The sequence below is a fragment of the Homo sapiens genome, chromosome 1 (assembly GCF_000001405.40).
Source record: "Homo sapiens chromosome 1, GRCh38.p14 Primary Assembly".
In the NCBI taxonomy this organism is placed as follows: Eukaryota; Metazoa; Chordata; class Mammalia; order Primates; family Hominidae; genus Homo; species Homo sapiens.
In genome coordinates, this window is record NC_000001.11 from 247,825,918 (window position 1) to 247,843,930 (window position 18,013).

At 40.9% G+C, this 18,013-nt stretch overlaps 1 protein-coding gene and 2 pseudogenes across 1 annotated transcript; 1 reads left to right on the forward strand and 2 right to left on the reverse strand.

The window, feature by feature from the left end:
- On the forward strand, positions 1,547–2,828 carry HSD17B7P1 (hydroxysteroid 17-beta dehydrogenase 7 pseudogene 1; annotated as a pseudogene).
- Positions 7,400–8,328, reverse strand: OR6R1P (olfactory receptor family 6 subfamily R member 1 pseudogene; annotated as a pseudogene).
- Positions 15,011–15,979, reverse strand: OR11L1 (olfactory receptor family 11 subfamily L member 1). Its single transcript, NM_001001959.1, has one exon. The coding sequence runs from the start codon at positions 15,977–15,979 to the stop codon at positions 15,011–15,013; it is 969 nt and encodes a 322-aa protein (NP_001001959.1).
- Between the last annotated feature and the right edge of the window lie 2,034 nt (positions 15,980–18,013).

Genomic DNA, 18,013 nt, shown 5'->3' on the forward strand with positions numbered 1-18,013 from the left:
ATATATGTGTGTATATATATGTGTATATATATGTGTGTGTATATATATACACACACATATATATACACACACATATATATACACACACACATTATATATACACACACACACACACATTCTACACACAATCTGTAGATTATTTGTTATCTATCCGGTCAGGATAAATTGTTCTTCAATTCATACCTTTCACAATTTTGAAAAAATATCAGCCATTACCCCTAAGACATTATCTCTCATCCTTCTTTTTGATTCTTATTTTCTTTTTCGTTTCTTATATTCCTAACTTATTCCTGACTTCTTGTGTATGTGTGTGTTTGTGAAATTTCATTTTTCTATTCTCTGTTAAATGTTCTGGAAAATTATCTCAATGTAATAATTTTTTATTAAAATTTATAGGAATTTCATTTTAAACAATAATCTGCTTCCACATTTGAAGTTCTACTTGGCTCTTTCTCCAAATCTGTGTGGTCAATAATTATTCTCATACTTTATTTCTTAAACTTTTTTATTCTTTCAAGTTAATTTTTAAATATATGGTGCATGTTTCTTTATATTTTCAGTTCAACAATTGCAACGTATGGACTTCTTCCAAATTGAGAACTTTGAAACAAATCTTAAAAAATTAGAAAAGTGTTCACATATTTTATAGTTCACAACTATAATTATGTGAATAAGAAACTCTTTGAGGTCCATTATATAAAGAGATAAGAATATAAAATAATTTACTAACTCAAAGTGAGATAAAATGCATAATCATGAGTAATTGTGACTAAATGAATTTGAATACATACAGTCTTGAGACATGATTTAACTTTTTTTTTTTTTTTTTTTTTTGAGACAGAGTCTCGCTCTGTCGGCAGGCTGGAGTGCAGTGGCGTGATTTCAGCTCACTGCAACCTCTGCCTCCCGGGTTCAAGTGATCATCCTGCCTCTGCCTCCCGAGTACCTGGGACTACAGGCACACGCCATCACACCCAGCTAATTTTTTTGTACTTTTAGTAGAGACAGGGTTTCAACACATTGGCCAGGGTGGTGTCGATCTCCTGACCTCGTGATCCGCCCACCTCAGTCTCCCAAAGTGCTGGTATTACAGATGTGAGCCACCGCGCCTGGCCGATTTAACATTTTAACTTACTAAAAGATTTTTATTACATTATTCAAAGTCAACAAAAAGTTAGCAATGATACTGTCTTAAGAACTACTTTTAAATAGTCTAATTAATTTCCTAACTAAAATAATTGATTTTTATTACGTTTCAGTATTTTTGTAGGTAATAAAGTTATTACAGTAATGTGCATTAATATTAATAAATCAAAATGTTAAAGCCAAAAAATAAAAATTTTAATCATTTGAAAGTAAAATTTACAATATGGGCAGATGGCAACACAATAAATCCAAAAAATCAAGATTTTATTTTATTTTTTAACAATTCATAAATGGGATCCAAATACACATGGTAGCACTCATTAAAACCAGTATTTGGCTAAAGTCAAGGTTACAACTGAATATCATCATCATAGCATAAACTGCTTGAAAATTAATTTAGGCCTGGAAGTGTGCAGGCACGAAGATGCAAAAGGTGTTTTTGATCACCGGGGCAAGCAGTGGCATTGGCCTGGCCCTCTGAAAGCGGCTGCTGGTGGAAGATGATGAGCTTCATCTGTTTGACGTGCAGGAACATGAAGTAAGACAGAAGCTGTCCATGCTGCTCCGCTGGCCTCTCACCCCACCACCATGTCAGCTACCTGCAGTCAGTTTTCTGGGCCTCCAAGTGACTTAAGCAAAGGTTTCAGAAATTAGACTATATATAAGTCAAAATGCTGGGATCATGCCCAGTCCACAGCTAAATGTCAAAACACTTCTTTGGCCTCTTTTGAAGAAAAGTGATTCATATGTTCTCCATAGCTGAAGGCCTGCTGACCCAGGATGATAAGATTACTGCTAATGGACTTCAGGAGGTGTTTAAGAACAATGTCTTTGGCCGTTTTATCCTGATTCAGGAACTGGAGCCTCTCTTCACCATGGTGACAATCCATCTCAACTTACCTGGACATCGTCTCGCAATGCAAGGAAATCTAATTTCAGCATCAAAGATGCCGACAAGCATCTTTGCCAAGCCAAGCAAAGGCAAGGAACCCTACAGCTCTTCCAGATATGCCACTGACCTTCTGAGTGTGGCTTTGAACAGGAACTTCAACCTGCAGGGTATCTATTCCAATGTAGTATGTCCAGGTAGAGCATTCACCAGTTTGACATATAGATTTCTGGCTCCCTTTGTTGGACACTGTTGATGCCACTAATATGGCTGCTTCGCTTTTTTGCAGATGCATTCACTTTGACACCATACAATGGAATAGAATCACTGGTATGGCTTTTCCACCAAAAGCTCGAATCTCTCAATCCTCTGATCAAATATCTGAGTGCCACCACTGGCTTTGGAAGAAATTACATAATGACCCAGAAGATGGATCTAGATAAAGACATTGCTGAAAAATTTTCTCAAAAGTTACTGGAACTGGAAAAGCGTGTTAGGGTCACTATTCAAAAAACAGATAACCAGGCTGGGCACTGTGGCTCATGTCTGTAGTCTCAGCACTTTGGGAGGCCAAGGCGTGAGGATCACGTGAGACCAGGAGTTCGAGACCAGCCTGGGAAACATAGTGATACCCTATCTCTACAAAAAGAAATACAAAAATTAGCTGGGCATGGTGGTATGCGCCTGTAGTCCCAATTACTCAGGAGGATGAGGTGAGAGGATTGCCTAAGGCTGGGAGGCGAAGGTTGCAGTGAGCTGAGATTGTTCCACTGCACTCCAGCCTGGGTGACAGTGTAAATATAGACACATCAATCAATGGAACAGTTTAGAGAGCCTAGAAATAAGTGGAGCCCATGCACCCATAGTCAAGTAGTTTTTGACGAAGGTGCCAAAAATATACAATAGGAAAAGGACAGTCAATAAAAGGTGTTGGGAATACTGGATATCCATATGCAAAAGCATAAAATTAGACCTTATCTCATACTATATACAAAAGTCAACTCAGAATGAATTAAAGACTTGACATAAGGCTTGAAGCTGTAAAACTACTAAGAAAATGTAGGGTTAAAACTATATAACATTGGTCTGGGCAATGTTGTTTTTTTTTTTCTAAATTTGACCCCAAAAGTCAAATCACAAACAACAAAATCAAAAATAGACAAATGGGATTACATCAAAATAAAAATCTTCTGCACCACAAAGTGTCACCTGACACCTGTAAGAATGGATATAATAAAAAAAGACAAAAGATAAGTGTTGGTGAGGATGTGAGAAAAGGGAACCCTTGTACACTGTTGGTAAGAATGTAAATTAGTACAGCCATAATGGGGGTTCCTCAGAAAACTAAAAATTGAACTACCATATAATTCATCAATCTCACTTCTGGGTAATTACCCATAAGATTGAAAATCAATATGTCAAAGAGATGTCTGTACTCCCGTGTTCATTGCAGCATTATTCACAACAGCCAAGTTCTGGAATCAACCTAAGTATCTATCAAGGTATGAATGGGTAAAGAAAATGTGGCATGTCATCCTCAAAGTGGAAGAAACTCTGTCATTTGTGACAACATGGATGGGAATGGAGAACATTATGCTACGTGAAATAAACCAAACACAGAAAGAGAAAAACCACATGCTCTCACTTATATGTGGAATCTAAATCAATTGAACTCACAGAAGCAGAGAAATAAACTTGAAGCCAGACCCTCTAGCTATAACTGGAAAGGCTGGGGTTTTGGCTGTGCACTGGATTTCTTTCTATCCTCATGTTGAAGGTGAACATGGGCTTTTCCACTCTCTGCACTAAGCTGGGGGGATCTGTGGCAAATGCCTGTGTGCACATTCATACTGCACCCTTTGATACAGAGCAGATGGCTCTTGGAAATTAGCCCATTGTATGTCCACCTCTTTGTTTTCTGTGGTCTAGGGCCACAGGAATGCAAAACTTCATTGACTCCCAGGGCTAGGTCATGAAAGAGATAGTCACTTGAGTGTGAGCTATAGTAGTTGTAGCACCTGATGCATGGATAAGCTCCTTCGAGGAAGAATGGACAGATTGGGTTTATCACTGAGGTGGGCCAGAGGAAAGGCTTGGGAAGTTCTTAGCCCTGGCTCAGGCAGCCAGAGGGCTATTGTCTGTCTGCCCTGTTAGCTCTTCAATGCAAGTTTATTGTCAGGCTGTCAAGTATCTACTGGAAATGTGTGCTGTAAACCTCTTAGGAGAGATTTAGAGCTGCATGTCCCAGCCCTTTTTCTGCAACACTACTCTCAAAGGTGTAGCCCCCAAAATGGAAATGTTTGCAGTCTTGTTTAAAACCACCTCTTTGTTCATGATCTAAGATGACTCACATATGCCAAGGCCCTTCTGCATCCAGAGCTAGGAAGTTTAGGATGCAGTCTTTCCAGTGGGAGCGGTAAAACTTGAGGCATTTGACGTTTCGACAATCTCCTTCCCAAGAGAGATGAATAGATCTGGATTTATCTCTGAGGCAAGCCCAGGAAGAAGGCATGGGAAGTGCTGATTTTCCTCTCAGGATGCCAGCAGGCTACAATTTGTCTGTCATTGCAAATTCACGATGGAACTGAGAAGCCATTGGAAGAGTGTGTTTTTGGGGAGAAACGCCGAGCTCTTTTCCCAAAGGGTGGAGCCCCTGGAAACGCATCCACAGCCGTATCAATAGCAAACTGCCTCTCTTTTTCTTGTGTTATAGAGAGACTTGCTCATGCCTAATCCCCTCTGCTCTCAGAGATGGTGAATTAAGAGCCATGCCGTGGGGGACCTTAGAGTTAGGGTGATATATGTGAGGTCCGAACTCTTTTCTCCACAGGGGAGAGCTGAGTGTTGAGGATTCCCTTCCTGATTGTGTGGCACAGTGCCTGGAGCGGGGTCCATGCTGGAGTGTGCCTCAGCTTTTCCTACCCTTCTGATGTGGATGTTTTCTTTGTTGCGCAGAGGGTAGGAGTCTCTCAACAACTGGTTTCTTTCTCCCAGAGAGAACTGATCTATAAATATATGTTTATTGGCACATCCTTGGGTGTCATTTATTTTCCATTCATCCTAATTGCTTTTGTTTCACGGTTTATCCTATCCTCTCTCGTTGTTGTTAACATATTATTTTAGTGTTTCCTTTCATTTCTCCTATTGAATTTTTAGGTATACTACATAATATTACTATTATTTTTAGTACTTGCTTTAAAGCTAATATTGTATATTTAATTTATTAAAATCTATAATAGTTCATATTTTACAACTATACCACACTTTATAGTTCATCCTTCTTCCTTCCGAAAACAACAGTAAAAATGTCTAGACCTAGACTTCCTGCATCCTGTTTCCTATTTCCTAGTCACATTTCCTATTCCAAAAATGTAATAACTATTAGACAATTTTTGTCATATATATTACTTCTATTTATTCCACATTACATTTTCATGCTGTTTATGCTTTAAGCAGTCTCTTGTTTTTTAAATTACAAGAAAAAATAAAGCAAAGTCTTTGTTATGACCTAACTTAATAACCATTTCTGGTGCATTCTGTTTCATTTAATTGATACAATTTTCCATTGGTAATCATTTCCTATTTACCTGTAGATACCTTTTAATATTACTTATTATCTACATGTGTGGTGACAAATACTTTCTGCTTTCTTATGGCTCTAATCAGAAAGTTATTATTCTGGCCAGGTGCGGTGGCTCATGCCTGTAATCTCAGCACTTTGGGAGGCTGAGGCGGGCAGATCACCTGAGGTCAGGAGTTTGAGACCAGCCTGGCCAACATGGCTAAACCCCGTCTCTACTAAAAATACAACAAAATGAGCTGGGCGTGGTGGCGCGTGACTGAAATCCCAGCTACTCAGGAGGCTGAGGCAAGGAATCGCTTGAACCCGGGAGTCAGAGGTTGCAGTAAGCCCAGATCACGCCACTGCACTCCAGCCTGGCCAACAGAGTAGGATGCTGTCTCAAAAAAAAAAAAGAAAAGAAAAGAAAAGAAAAGAAAAAGAAAAAAGAAAAGTTATTATTCTATATCACAGCTTTGGGAGGATATAGATGTTTGATTTCCATGGCTTTTTGTTTATATATTTGCTCATTTTATTCTTTCAGCCTTTAAAACATGTCTTTCAGTTGTCCTGTGCCTACCATTGTTATTGATGAAAACTCAATGATTATTTTTAAACTTTTCCCCCAGCATCCAATGTGTCATTTTTTAATGGTTCTTTTTAAATTTTATTTTGAGGTTTAGTTTAAAACAGACTAGTACGTGCCAAGATGTTATTTATTGTATTGTTTGGGTTTTATTATCTTTTTTTTTTGAAATCTAGGATTTTTTAAATACAAATTGGGAATTATTTAGTTACTAGTTCTGTATATTCGTTTTCTTTCACAGTTTCTCTAATCCTTTCTAAGTGTGACTGCAATTATACATAAGTTAGAGAATGTTCTACTGTGACAAAACTCCCTGTTGGTGTGCTCATTTTTCTGTATTGTTTTTCCTTTTATACTTCAGCTTAGAAAATTTATATTATTTTACTTTCATGTTCAATTTTCCATTTTTTTCTGTTATCCCTGTTAGCAGTTTAGATGTGCACTACGTTTCCCGAAGCTTATATCAGCATGCTCGCTCTCAAAGTTTCTGATACTATCAATTCCCAAACAATTATTTTCTGACTGTACAAAAATGTTTTCCTCTTTGTCCTTGACAAATCCATTTTCTTCATTTTTTTGTTTTTTGTTATTTTTCTCCAATGATCATGTATTCCTTCATTGCCTCGCTCATTACAAATGTTGGCAATTAATTTTTTCAGAATAACCTTAATACTAAATTATAAAATACTTGTACTTAAACTGTGAAAGATAGAAAACAAATCAATATACAGAAATATTTTAAGCACTTTATTTAGACATTTTCCATTTGCTCATCCAAAAAGCAAATGCCATTAGTAAAAATGAATGAAAATGATAAATTAAAAAATTAATGACCTATATTCAAAGTAATATAGAGTTTAAGCCCATAATACAACTTCTGAAATTATATTCCAAGGATGAATTTTTGTTTAAGTGTATTTGTGTTGAGAGGAGACGTGCTCTGAAAACTTTCCTTTCCACAGTGCATAGATATGAAAAAAATATATATAAATATATATACGCACACACTCTTACCCACCACCACATCCTCTTACCACCTATAACGAGAAGTTTCATTAATGAAACACAATATTGGAAATTTAAATTGCACAAAACCTGGTACATTTCATTATGAAAACTGGAAATTTTTTCATAACTAAGATCATCTATTCATTTACAAATGTCTTAGGACTTTGTTAGAATCATCATTGATGAAGCTGAATACATCCAGGACTAAGAGGATTCTCAGAGAATCCTCATGTGGACCTTACCCCTTTGAGCAAGCTCTGTCCTCCGGCCGAGGCGTCCTTCAGTGCATCTTTCATGGGTTCATTCCACAGACTGAAGACGAAGGGATTCAGGAGGGGTGTGATGATGCTGGAGAGGATAAAGAGGATCTTGTTGAGGTGCAGGCTGCTCTTCTGTGAGGGGTGAACATAGACAAAGATGGAGATCCCATAGCCCACGGAGACCACCGTGAAGTGAGAGGCACAGGTGGCAAAGGCTTTGCGTTGACCTTGGCCTGAGGGTATCTTCAGAATGGTGGAGATGATGTAAACATAGGAGACCACTGTGAGTGAGAGGGAGCTGAGGATCAGGACCAGTGAGCTGAGAAAGTCCAACAGCTCAATAGCACGAATGTCAGCACAGGCCAGGTGGAGGAGAGGGGCGCTGTCACAGAAAAAGTGCTCAATCACGTTGGGACCACAGTGTGGCAGTCCTGCCTTGAGGATGGTGGATGGGAGCATGAGGAGAAAGCCACCCACCCAGGAGAGGATGACGAGGTGGGCACAGAGTGAGCTGGTCATAATTGCAGGGTACTGAAGAGGACTGCAAATGGCCACATAGCGGTCATAGGACATGACAGCAAAAGGAATAAACTCAGTGCATCCGGAAAGAAAATAGAAATAGGACTGTGCAGAGCATTCGCCACTTGTGATGCTCTTCCTTTCCGACGGGAAGCCCTCCAGCATCTTAGGAACAGCACAGGTTATGGTTAATGTTTCACTGAAAGAGAGATTGCTGAGGAAGAAATACATGGGTGAGTGGAGCCTGTAATCCACAAGAATCAGGATAATAATAAGGGTGTTTCCAAGGACTGTCACCAAATAGGCTGATAAAAAATCACAAAGAGGAGGCCCCCAAGGGCTCTGGTGGTTGGTATCCCCACAAGAATAAACTCAGTCACCAATGTCCAATTTCCCCTTTCCATGCTTCATATCTCGTTTTACTATAAAGAGAGCTATAGAACAAACAAGGTAATTCACTTATCAAATTACAAACTTCAGGATAAAGTGAGAAGAAATAGTTTTAGCCCCTTTTTTTGTTTCTAAAAAAATTGAGCAACATGGTTGAAATTATAGTTGAGTGCAATATTTCCTATAAAATCCAGATTAAGTTATATGATAATCAACTTCTCTAAATCTGTCTTTCTTTTTTATATTCCATAATTCTTGGGAGGGGGAGGATATATGTTAAATATATTAGTAGACTTGTATTTCCTAGATCTAATAATATATTTAACATATTGACCTATATTTCCTAGGTCTAATATATTTAACATATTTAACAAATTTGTCACGTGTTTTAATAAATGGAGCAATAAAAGATGTACTTGGTAGTTGTAAATATCATAGCAGTTTATTTTCAATGTTTACCTTGTGGGGACTAAGCTGCCTGGGATGTTGCGAGCACATGTAGAGGGCTCAGGATTCCAGTTCAAAGTCAGTGGGGCAGCTATGGCTTCCAGTGTCACATTGGACCATAGGTGCACACGGCAGCCAATTATAACAGAGGCACTTGAGCACCTAGGAGTCTGGAACTCCAACTGCTCCAACTGCCAGTAAGGGTGGAAAACTACAGGTGAATTAGTTTACCCTCCTTCACACACTGAAAATTATTGTCTCTTTAAGTTTAAACATATCCCCCTTTTCTAACTTTTATTTATCTTTGCCTTGTATGGAAGCACATGGAGGTTAATTTATTCAAAATCTTGCAGTTGGTATAAAAGCACTATAGAAATAAAGTATAAATATTTGCAAAAGTGTTGATAATTTTTCAATCTTTTACAAAACTATCTTTGATAGGATCAACTAAATGTTTGAATAAAAGTTTGTGTCTCAATTAGCTGGAGATGAAAAAAGTCTCTGAGACAAGGTTTTGCTGATGTAGATTAGTGCCAACATTGCCCATATGGAGCAAAAATTTGCAATAATTTGGTATTATTGCAAACTTGTGAATTACAGAAAGAATTCTCAAGTTTAAAAATTATCATAGGCTGGTGCGGTGGCTCACGTCAGTAATCCCAGCATTTTTGGGAGGCCAAGGTGGGAGGCTCGTGTGAGCCCAGTAGTTGGAGACCAGCCTGGCAACATAGAGAGGCACCACCTCTAGAAATGATTTAAAAATTAGTCGGGTGTGGTGGCACATGCCGGTAGTCCCAGCTACTCAGGAGGCTTAGGCAGAAGGATTGCTTGAGCCCAGGAGGTCGAGGCTGCAATGAGCTATGATCGTGCCATTGCACTCCAGCGTAGGAAACAGTGTGAGACACAGCCAGACCCTGTCTCAAACATATAAAAAATTAATTAATTAAAATTATCATATTAAAATAAGTAGAACCGTATAAACTATAGTAAGATTATATAACTTTGGCATCAGTGGAGCATTATTATCTCAACAAAGAAAAGTGGGAATAATGAGAGAAACACAATCTGTTTACACAATGAGAAATAAAACAAATTTTAGAAAACAAAAAATGGAAATATGAATTATGAATCTGCAACAATAAGAATTGTATCAATAAACATGAATATATTAATTTTTACTGTTATAAATATCAGATTGAAATACAAAGCCCTATGCAGTTTGCTAGAATAAATATACTAAATATAAAAGCTTAAAATGCAAAAGAGAGGTCGGGCACGGTGGCTCACCCCTGTAATCCCAGCACTTTGGGAGGCTGAGGCAGGCGGATCACCTGAGGCCAGGAGTTCAACACCAGTCTGGTCTACGTGATGAAACCTTGTCTCCACTAAAAAAGATAAAAAATTAGCCGGGCGTGGTAGTGGGTGCCTGTAGTCCCAGCTACTCGGGAGGCTGAGGCAGGGAGAATGAACCCAGGAGGCGGAGGTTGCAGTGAGCCGAGATTGCACCACTGCACTCCAGCCTGGGCAACAGAACAAGACTCCGTCTCAAAAAAAAAAAAAAAAAAAAAAAAAAAGAGATAAAAGTACACAGGCAAGCTAGTATTACAATAAATCAATCATACCCTATTTCAACTAAGCTTTCATTTTTGCTCGCAAGTCCACCTCTGTGTCTTCAGTCAGCTGTCAGTCTCACTCTGCAAGATGAGTATGGAATGCCTTTGCCACTTTCTTCAAATCCTGACCTACACTGTCTATGGTAAATAAGAACAATTGGCCTTGTCACGAAAATGTGTCATGTAACTCCTCAGGTGGGAAATTGTACAAGTGCCATTTCCATTTCTTTCCTTTTTTATTTGAGACAGGGTCTCACTCTGTTGCCCAGGGTAGAGTGCAGTGGCACAGTCATGGCTCACTGCAGCCTCTACCTACTGGGTTCAAGTGATCCTCCTGCTTCAGCCTTCTGAGTAACTAGCATTACAGGCACATGCCACCATGATCAGATAATTTTTACTATTTTTGGTAGACACATAGTCATTCTTTGTTGCCCAGGCTAGTCTCCAATTCCTGGGCTCAACCATATTCCCGCCTTGGCTCCCAAAGTGCTAGGATTAAAGATGCGAGCCATTGAGCCTGGCCCTATCTCCATTTCTTTAAATCCTCATAAGACTACGATGATCCTCTCCTTTCTGCCTCCTACACTAAAGAAAACACTTCCCGTACTGAATGTTGGTATTTCCACATTTGAACAAGATGCCTTCTTGTTTTATCTCAGGCTATCAGTCATCACTTTCTATATTGATTCCTCTGATTTATTTTTTATCACTATGGACCTTTCCCATAAGTGTTCAAACTTACTTAGATGCTAACATCTTACAAAAGTACAACTGCCCCTCCAACACAATTTTTTCTTTCAACCTTTCAAAATTATGTGTCTCATGGCCGGGCACGGTGGCTCACCCCTGTAATCTCGGCACTTTGGGAGGCCGAGGCGGGCTGATCACCTGAGGTCGGGAGTTCGAGACCAGCCTGACCAACATGGAGAAACCCTGTCTCTACTAAAAATACAACAAATTAGCCAGGCGTATTGGCGCCCCCCTGTAATCCCAGCTACTGGGGAGACTGAGGCAGGAGAATCGCTTGAACCCGGTAAGCGGAGGTTATGGTGAGCCGAGATCACACCATTGTACTCCAGCCTGGACAACAAGAGCAAAACTCCTTCTCAAAAAAAAAAAAAAAAAAAAAAAAGAAGAAGAAGAAGAATTACATGTCTCAGGATAACTGTTTCACACACAATTGCTTCCATTGTTTTACAAGTCATTCCTGCCCCATTGCCACTAGTCTGATGTGCACTACCCCGATGCCAATCATGCTGCCCTTCCCGGGAACAACACTGAAGTCTGTGATGAGAAGTTTGATGATAACCCTTTAATCCTCATCTTCCATGTTGACTGCCTCTTCCTTCCCCCAACACTCTCACCCCTTAGAGAAATGCAGCCACCTCATAAGTGCCCCCCAACCTCTGTGCCTCTTCCTTCTCACAACACTCTCACCTCTTAGAGAAATGCAGCCACCTCACAAGTGCCCCCAGCTTCTGTGGTCATTCCTGCCAGCTCCTTTTGGGGTTTCTTTTCCTTCAATTAAATTTAATGTTTTAAAATTCTTTTGTGCTCTGTTCTTCACTCTCTTATTATATTGGTTTGCACTCTTCCTGAAAAAATCGAATTTGTTTCCATATTTTCAAATATCATCTATATGTTAAAAACTTCCAAATTTTTAACTTTCGGCCAGGCCCCTCCTCTGAGCTCCAGATCCATACATCCAAATGTTCTTTTGGTGTAATTTCTTACTGTCCCTAATATGTGGATCAATAATTTTTTACTCTCCGTATGCAGAGCCCTGCACCACCAAATTTAACACGTTAGAAAAAGCTTTTGGTAGAGTAACATAAGTCCAGTTAAACATAAGGCACAGCTAATATACTAATCAGAGATGACCATCTGCAAGGTAAGATATTGATCGTTTGGGTACTCTACCGAAAAGCTGAAACCAATGAGACTTCTCTCCCTACTGCACCCATTTCCTGATCTGAGATTCTAATGCATCACTTTCCTTCTACCCAATATTTGAACCAGATGAATCAAAAAAGGACTGAGGACATTTCTCACAGGTCAAATCCCAGAAAGGAGAGAAAATGTGAGGGCTAGAAAAAGGCAGGTGAAAGAACCCAAGGACACGTGGTGGGGGAAATTACATGAGCTAGAGGGTGAAAGTGCATTGAACCCTGAGGCTCAGGGACCACTGCACTGGAACGAGTGAGACCGGAACAGGTACTCCCAACCTCACCATCCATGAGGTACTTCCTGTGATGGATTACATCATGAAACCTAAAATCAAACCAACTTCCGCTCCTGCATGGGCTACTGCAATGACCCCAACAGCTCTTGCTCTCTTTTAGTCTTTTCTCTACACAGCAATGGAATTCACACATGCAAAATATATCATGTCATTCCCTAATTAGTATGTTTTGATAATCATTTCCCTTAGTGCAAGATCTGAAAACCCTATGAGGTTTTTAATGACAGAGATGGATTAGCCCCTACCATTCTCTCCAGACTGAGCTCCTTCCTCTATCTCCCCAGTTCCTCAGCCTTCTTCTGCCATGCCCTAGCTGGACTACTCTCCACTCTTGTTCTCCTCACTCTTGAAGCGTAGGTGAAGTGCTACATAACATAGAAAGCTTCCCTAATCATGTATGTTGACTCAGACTTGTCGTCCTGTGTTCATGCTCCAGCTTGCACTTTATTATTTCTTTTCTTTGGGATGGAGTCTCGCTCTGTCACCCAGGCTGGAGTGCAGTGGTGCAATCTCGGCTCACTGCAAGCTGCGCCTCCCGGGTTCACGCCATTCTCCTGCCTCAGCCTCCCGAGTAGCTGGGACTACAGGCACCCGCCACCACACCTGGCTAATTTTTTGTATTTTTAGTAGAGATGGGGTTTCACTGTGTTAGCCAGGATGGTCTCGATCTCCTGACCTCATGATCCGCCCGCCTCGGCCTCCCAAAGTTCTGGGATTACAGGGGTGAGCTACTGCGCCCGGCCTCACTTTATTATTTCATAGTGATCATCACAAGTAGAAATAAATCAATCATTGCTTTATGATTTGTTACATTTTTCTCCTCCCTTCTGCATTGGAAGGTCTATTAAGGTAAAGTCTTGCTTGGCCCTTTCTTTCTTTTTTCTTTTTTTTTTTTTTTTTGAGATGGAGTTTCATTCTTGTTGCCCAGGCTGGAGTGCAATGGCATGATCTCAGCTCACAGCAACCTCTGCCTCCTGGGTTCAAGTGATTCTGCTGCCTCAGCCTCCCTAGTAGCTGGGATAACAGGCATGCCCCTTGCCCGGCTAATTTTGTATTTTTAGTAGAGACGGGGTTTTTCCATGTTGGCCAGGCTGGTCTCGAACTCCCGACCTCAGGTGACCGCCCACCTTGGCCTCCCAAAGTGCTGGAATTACAGGCGTGAGCCACTGTGCCTGGCTTGCTTGGTCCTTTCTATGTCATTGTCTTTCCGGGAAATTCAGACTGTGGCACAGGACGTGGCATGCTTCATGAGATTAAAAATATTTGTAGAATTAATGAATCAAACAATGGGCAGGATTTGTAGAGATCTTCTAAACTGGCTGAATAAAATAAACTATAAAAGTGATTTAAGAGCCTGGGCGCGGTGGCTCACCCCTGTAATCCCAGCACTTTGAGAGGCCGAGGCGGGTGGAGCTTGAGGTCAGGAGTTCAAGACCTGCCTGACCAACAGGGTGAAACTCTATCTCTACTAAAAAAAAAAAAAATACAAAAATTAGCTGGGCCTGGTGGTGCATGCCTGTATTCCCAGCTACTCAGGAGGCTGAAGCAGGAGAATCGCTTGAACCTGGGAGGTGGAGGTTGCAGTGAGCCAAAATCGTGCCATTGCACTCCAGCCTGGGCGACAGAGTGAGACTCTGTCTCAAGAAAATAAAAAGTGATTTAAACATTTTAGTGACATCCTCTGACTCTCAGGACTCACAGTAGCACAGAATACTGAGGATCTTCTCCTTCCTCCCTCCCTCCCTTCCCTCCTTTCCTCCCTCCCTCCCTCCCTCCCTTCCTTCCCACAATTTCATTAAACAAAAAACACTAAAACATCTAAGGTCTTGTAGATGAATATTTGGCACTTCAAAGGCCTTACTTCTTTCTTATCTTTAGGAGATAATGTAGGTCAACAAACATTTTAAATGTCTTCTTTTTTTTATTTATTCTTTCTACTGCTATTTAATAAGCACCAATGGCACCCACCAGGTTTTAGGTCCACAAGGCCAGTCTACTAAGAGTACTTAAAAGATGCAGAGCTTTCTGTACATAAGGTTATGTAAACAAAGGGAAATCTTATTGTAGAATGTGAAAGTAATGTGTGTGTAATCACCATCCACTGGAATTCAATCAGATTTTCCTAACAAGATGTTAGAAAGTGTCTAGGACAAAACTGACCTCAAAATGGTTTGATGGAGGCAGTTTATCTTCTGACCAGTTGCTAGTGAGGAACCCTCAAAAAGCTGTTGTTTTGTGGCCTACAGAATTCAATGCAGTTCTGACAATGATCTTCAGGTTTAAAGGTCTGAATCTACCATTCACTTAACCCTGAATTTAATCCACTGCATGTTCTGTGCAATTTTCTTTACCTAATAAAGGAACTTCCTTTTACTTGTACTCCATAGAATACCACATTTCCTTCTCATGACCTTTCTAACAGCTTCTTTGAAGTCTTTGTTCCTCAAGCTGTAGATAACTGGGTTCAGCAGTGGTGTGACCACAGTGTAGAAGACAGAAATGATCTTGTTGATTTCAGGCAACAGGTGGGGACTGGGACACACATACATGGAGATCATGGTCCCGTAGTAGAGAGTGACAACAGCCAGGTGGGAGCCACATGTGGAAAAGGTCTTTCTCCGGCCAGAGGTGGAAGGGATTCTCAATATGGAGGACACAATGAAAACATAGGGCCCCAGTGTCAGAAAAAAACAAATGCACAGCACGGCAATTGACAGGATGAAGATGGTCACCTCGGTGATATAAACTCTGGAACAGGAGAGCTGCATGAGTGGCGGGAGGTCGCAGAAGAAATGGTTAATCTGATTGCGCCCACAGAAGTCCAACCTGGAAATCATCAGGGAAGGCAGAAAGCCTGTGCTGACCCCTGTGCACCAGGAGACCACCACCAACCTGGCACAGAGCCCACGATGCATGAGGAAGGGGTAGCGGAGTGGGCTGCAGATGGCCAGGTAACGGTCATAGGCCATGAAGGCCAGGAGAAAGCACTCGGTGGCGCCGAGGAATACGAAGAAGTAGAGCTGTGCCATGCAGGCAGAGAAGGAGATGGCTTGGCCCCAGGACAGCAGGTTGGCTAGGAGAAGGGGCACAGTGGTGGACGTGTACCAGACCTCCAGAAAGGAGAGATGCTGGAGGAACATGTACATAGGGGAGTGCAGTCGCAGGCCCTGGCTCACCACGGTGATGATGACAACATTCCCTATAATGGTCAGGCAGTAGATGAGCAGGAAAATGACAAAGAGCAGGGCCTGCCATTCAAGAAGGTTCTGGAATCCTAACAGCTGAAAGTTAGTCACAGTGGAGGTATTTTGGGGCTCCATTGCCTGTGGGGGATGAAAAACATTCTGGAAAAGCACAGGATGCAAGGCGCAAATTTATCACTGGTGATGCTTGGAACTTCAGAGATTAATTTTTAAATAGTTTAGATCTGTATGCACAGCTTTTTAGAAGGATAAATGCATAATTCCATATCTCTTTCGTAAGAATACATTTTGAAATCTTAAGCTGAATGTGAATATTAGATCTTGTAAGGAGACTCAGCAAGTTTCATTCATCTGGGTTCTCTGAAATCTTGAAGTCTCCTTCCAAAGACAGGCAAAAAAGGACTCTTATTAGTAGATCTTCAGTGTTCTCACCATACAAAAAAGAAAAATTGAGGTGATGAATATGTTAATTGGATTGATTGTGATGATTATTTCACAATGAATACATCTACGAGAACAAAGTTGTACACTGTAAATATATAGTATACAATAATTATCAACTACACCTCAATAAAGCTGGACAAAAACTCAGAAAACTAACAATAACAACAAAGCTTTAAAAAAAATCCTGCACGGCCGGGCGCAGTGGCTCACGCCTGTAATACCAGCACTTTGGAAGGCCGAGGCGGGCGTATCACGAGGTCAAGAGTTCGAGACCAGCCTGAGCAACACAGTGAAACCCCGTCTCTACTAAAAATACAAAAATTAGCTGGGTGTAGTGGTGCCTGCCTGTAATCCCAGCTACGTGGGAGGCTGGGGCTGGAGAATCGCTTGAATCCGGGAGGCGGAGATTGCAGTGAGCCAAGATCGCACCACTGCATTCCAGCCTGGGTGACAGGGCGAGACTCCGTCTCAAAAAAAAAAAAAAAATCATGCACATGTGGAAGCAAATGCCTTTCCCTTCTCATCTGTGGGCTTTGTCTGAAAAAGAAGCCAGACACAGCACATCTCCTATGCCATCTTGGGAAAGTGTATATATTCCACCCTCAAACAATATTTATTAGTCCCTGCTGTGTGTGTGTGTTTGTGTGTGTGTGTTTGTGTGTGTGTGTGTGTGTGTGAAGGCCTGTGCTGAACTAATCTGCCTCACTCCACTGGTGTCCTTTCTTGCCTCATCCGATACCATACTCATGCTCAGCCACTATAATTACACCCTCGTGTACACCTTTTATTCTTTCATTTAATTCATTGTCTATAGTTCTGGATAAAGTAAACATCCACCTGCCATACAGGAGCTTCTGTGAAGTTGAGGGAGTGAGACAAGCAAGAATAGAACCTCTTTAAAATGTACAACCAACAAACTCAGTGTGCCCTTACTGCTGGAGAGCAATCATTCTGTATTTCCCTTATAAACCAAAAATAAAATTCTAAACCCCACAACTGACTGAGCGGACTCCTCCTTTCAGCCAAGGGGATTTCAAAGAAACCTAAAAATTCTGGTTCAGATCATGATGGGAAGAGGGGGTTGGACAAACCTCATTACACTCTCCTTTCTTCAGAATTCAGGCATAACTGAGCAGCAATAACATCAAAAAAGAGATTTTAAGGCTGACGAAACAGACTCTGTAGAAATAAGCTACCAAATTCTAACCTGACTCTAGTATAGCATCATGACAGACAGCCGACCCTGAAGGAAATGGAAATATTTTACCACAAAATATATTTATTTGTCATATTTAAAATGGCCCTGCAAAGCTGTCTCTTGTGGGGGAAATCTACATTCTGCGGAGAATCCCTTTCCCTCTCCAGGCCTTTGTCTGATCCTCAAGAGATTAGCTGAAAGTCTAGCACCTTTTAAAGGTCTCAATAGAACATTTTTCCCATCTGCTGCTTCTCAGGCTGGCAACATATGAGACTTCATCTACATCATAAGAACCTTGGTTTCCCCAACCCCCCTATCTTAACCCAGATTCTCCTTTCTATTGATTCCAGGTCTTCAGACAATAACTTAATTCTTTCAACCAGTTGCCAATCAAAAAGTCTTTGCATCCACGTATGACTGTAACCTTCCCCCATTCTTGGAGCTGTCCTGCCTTTCCAGACCAAACCAACGCATAGCTCACACGTACTGATTGATGTCTTATGTCTCCC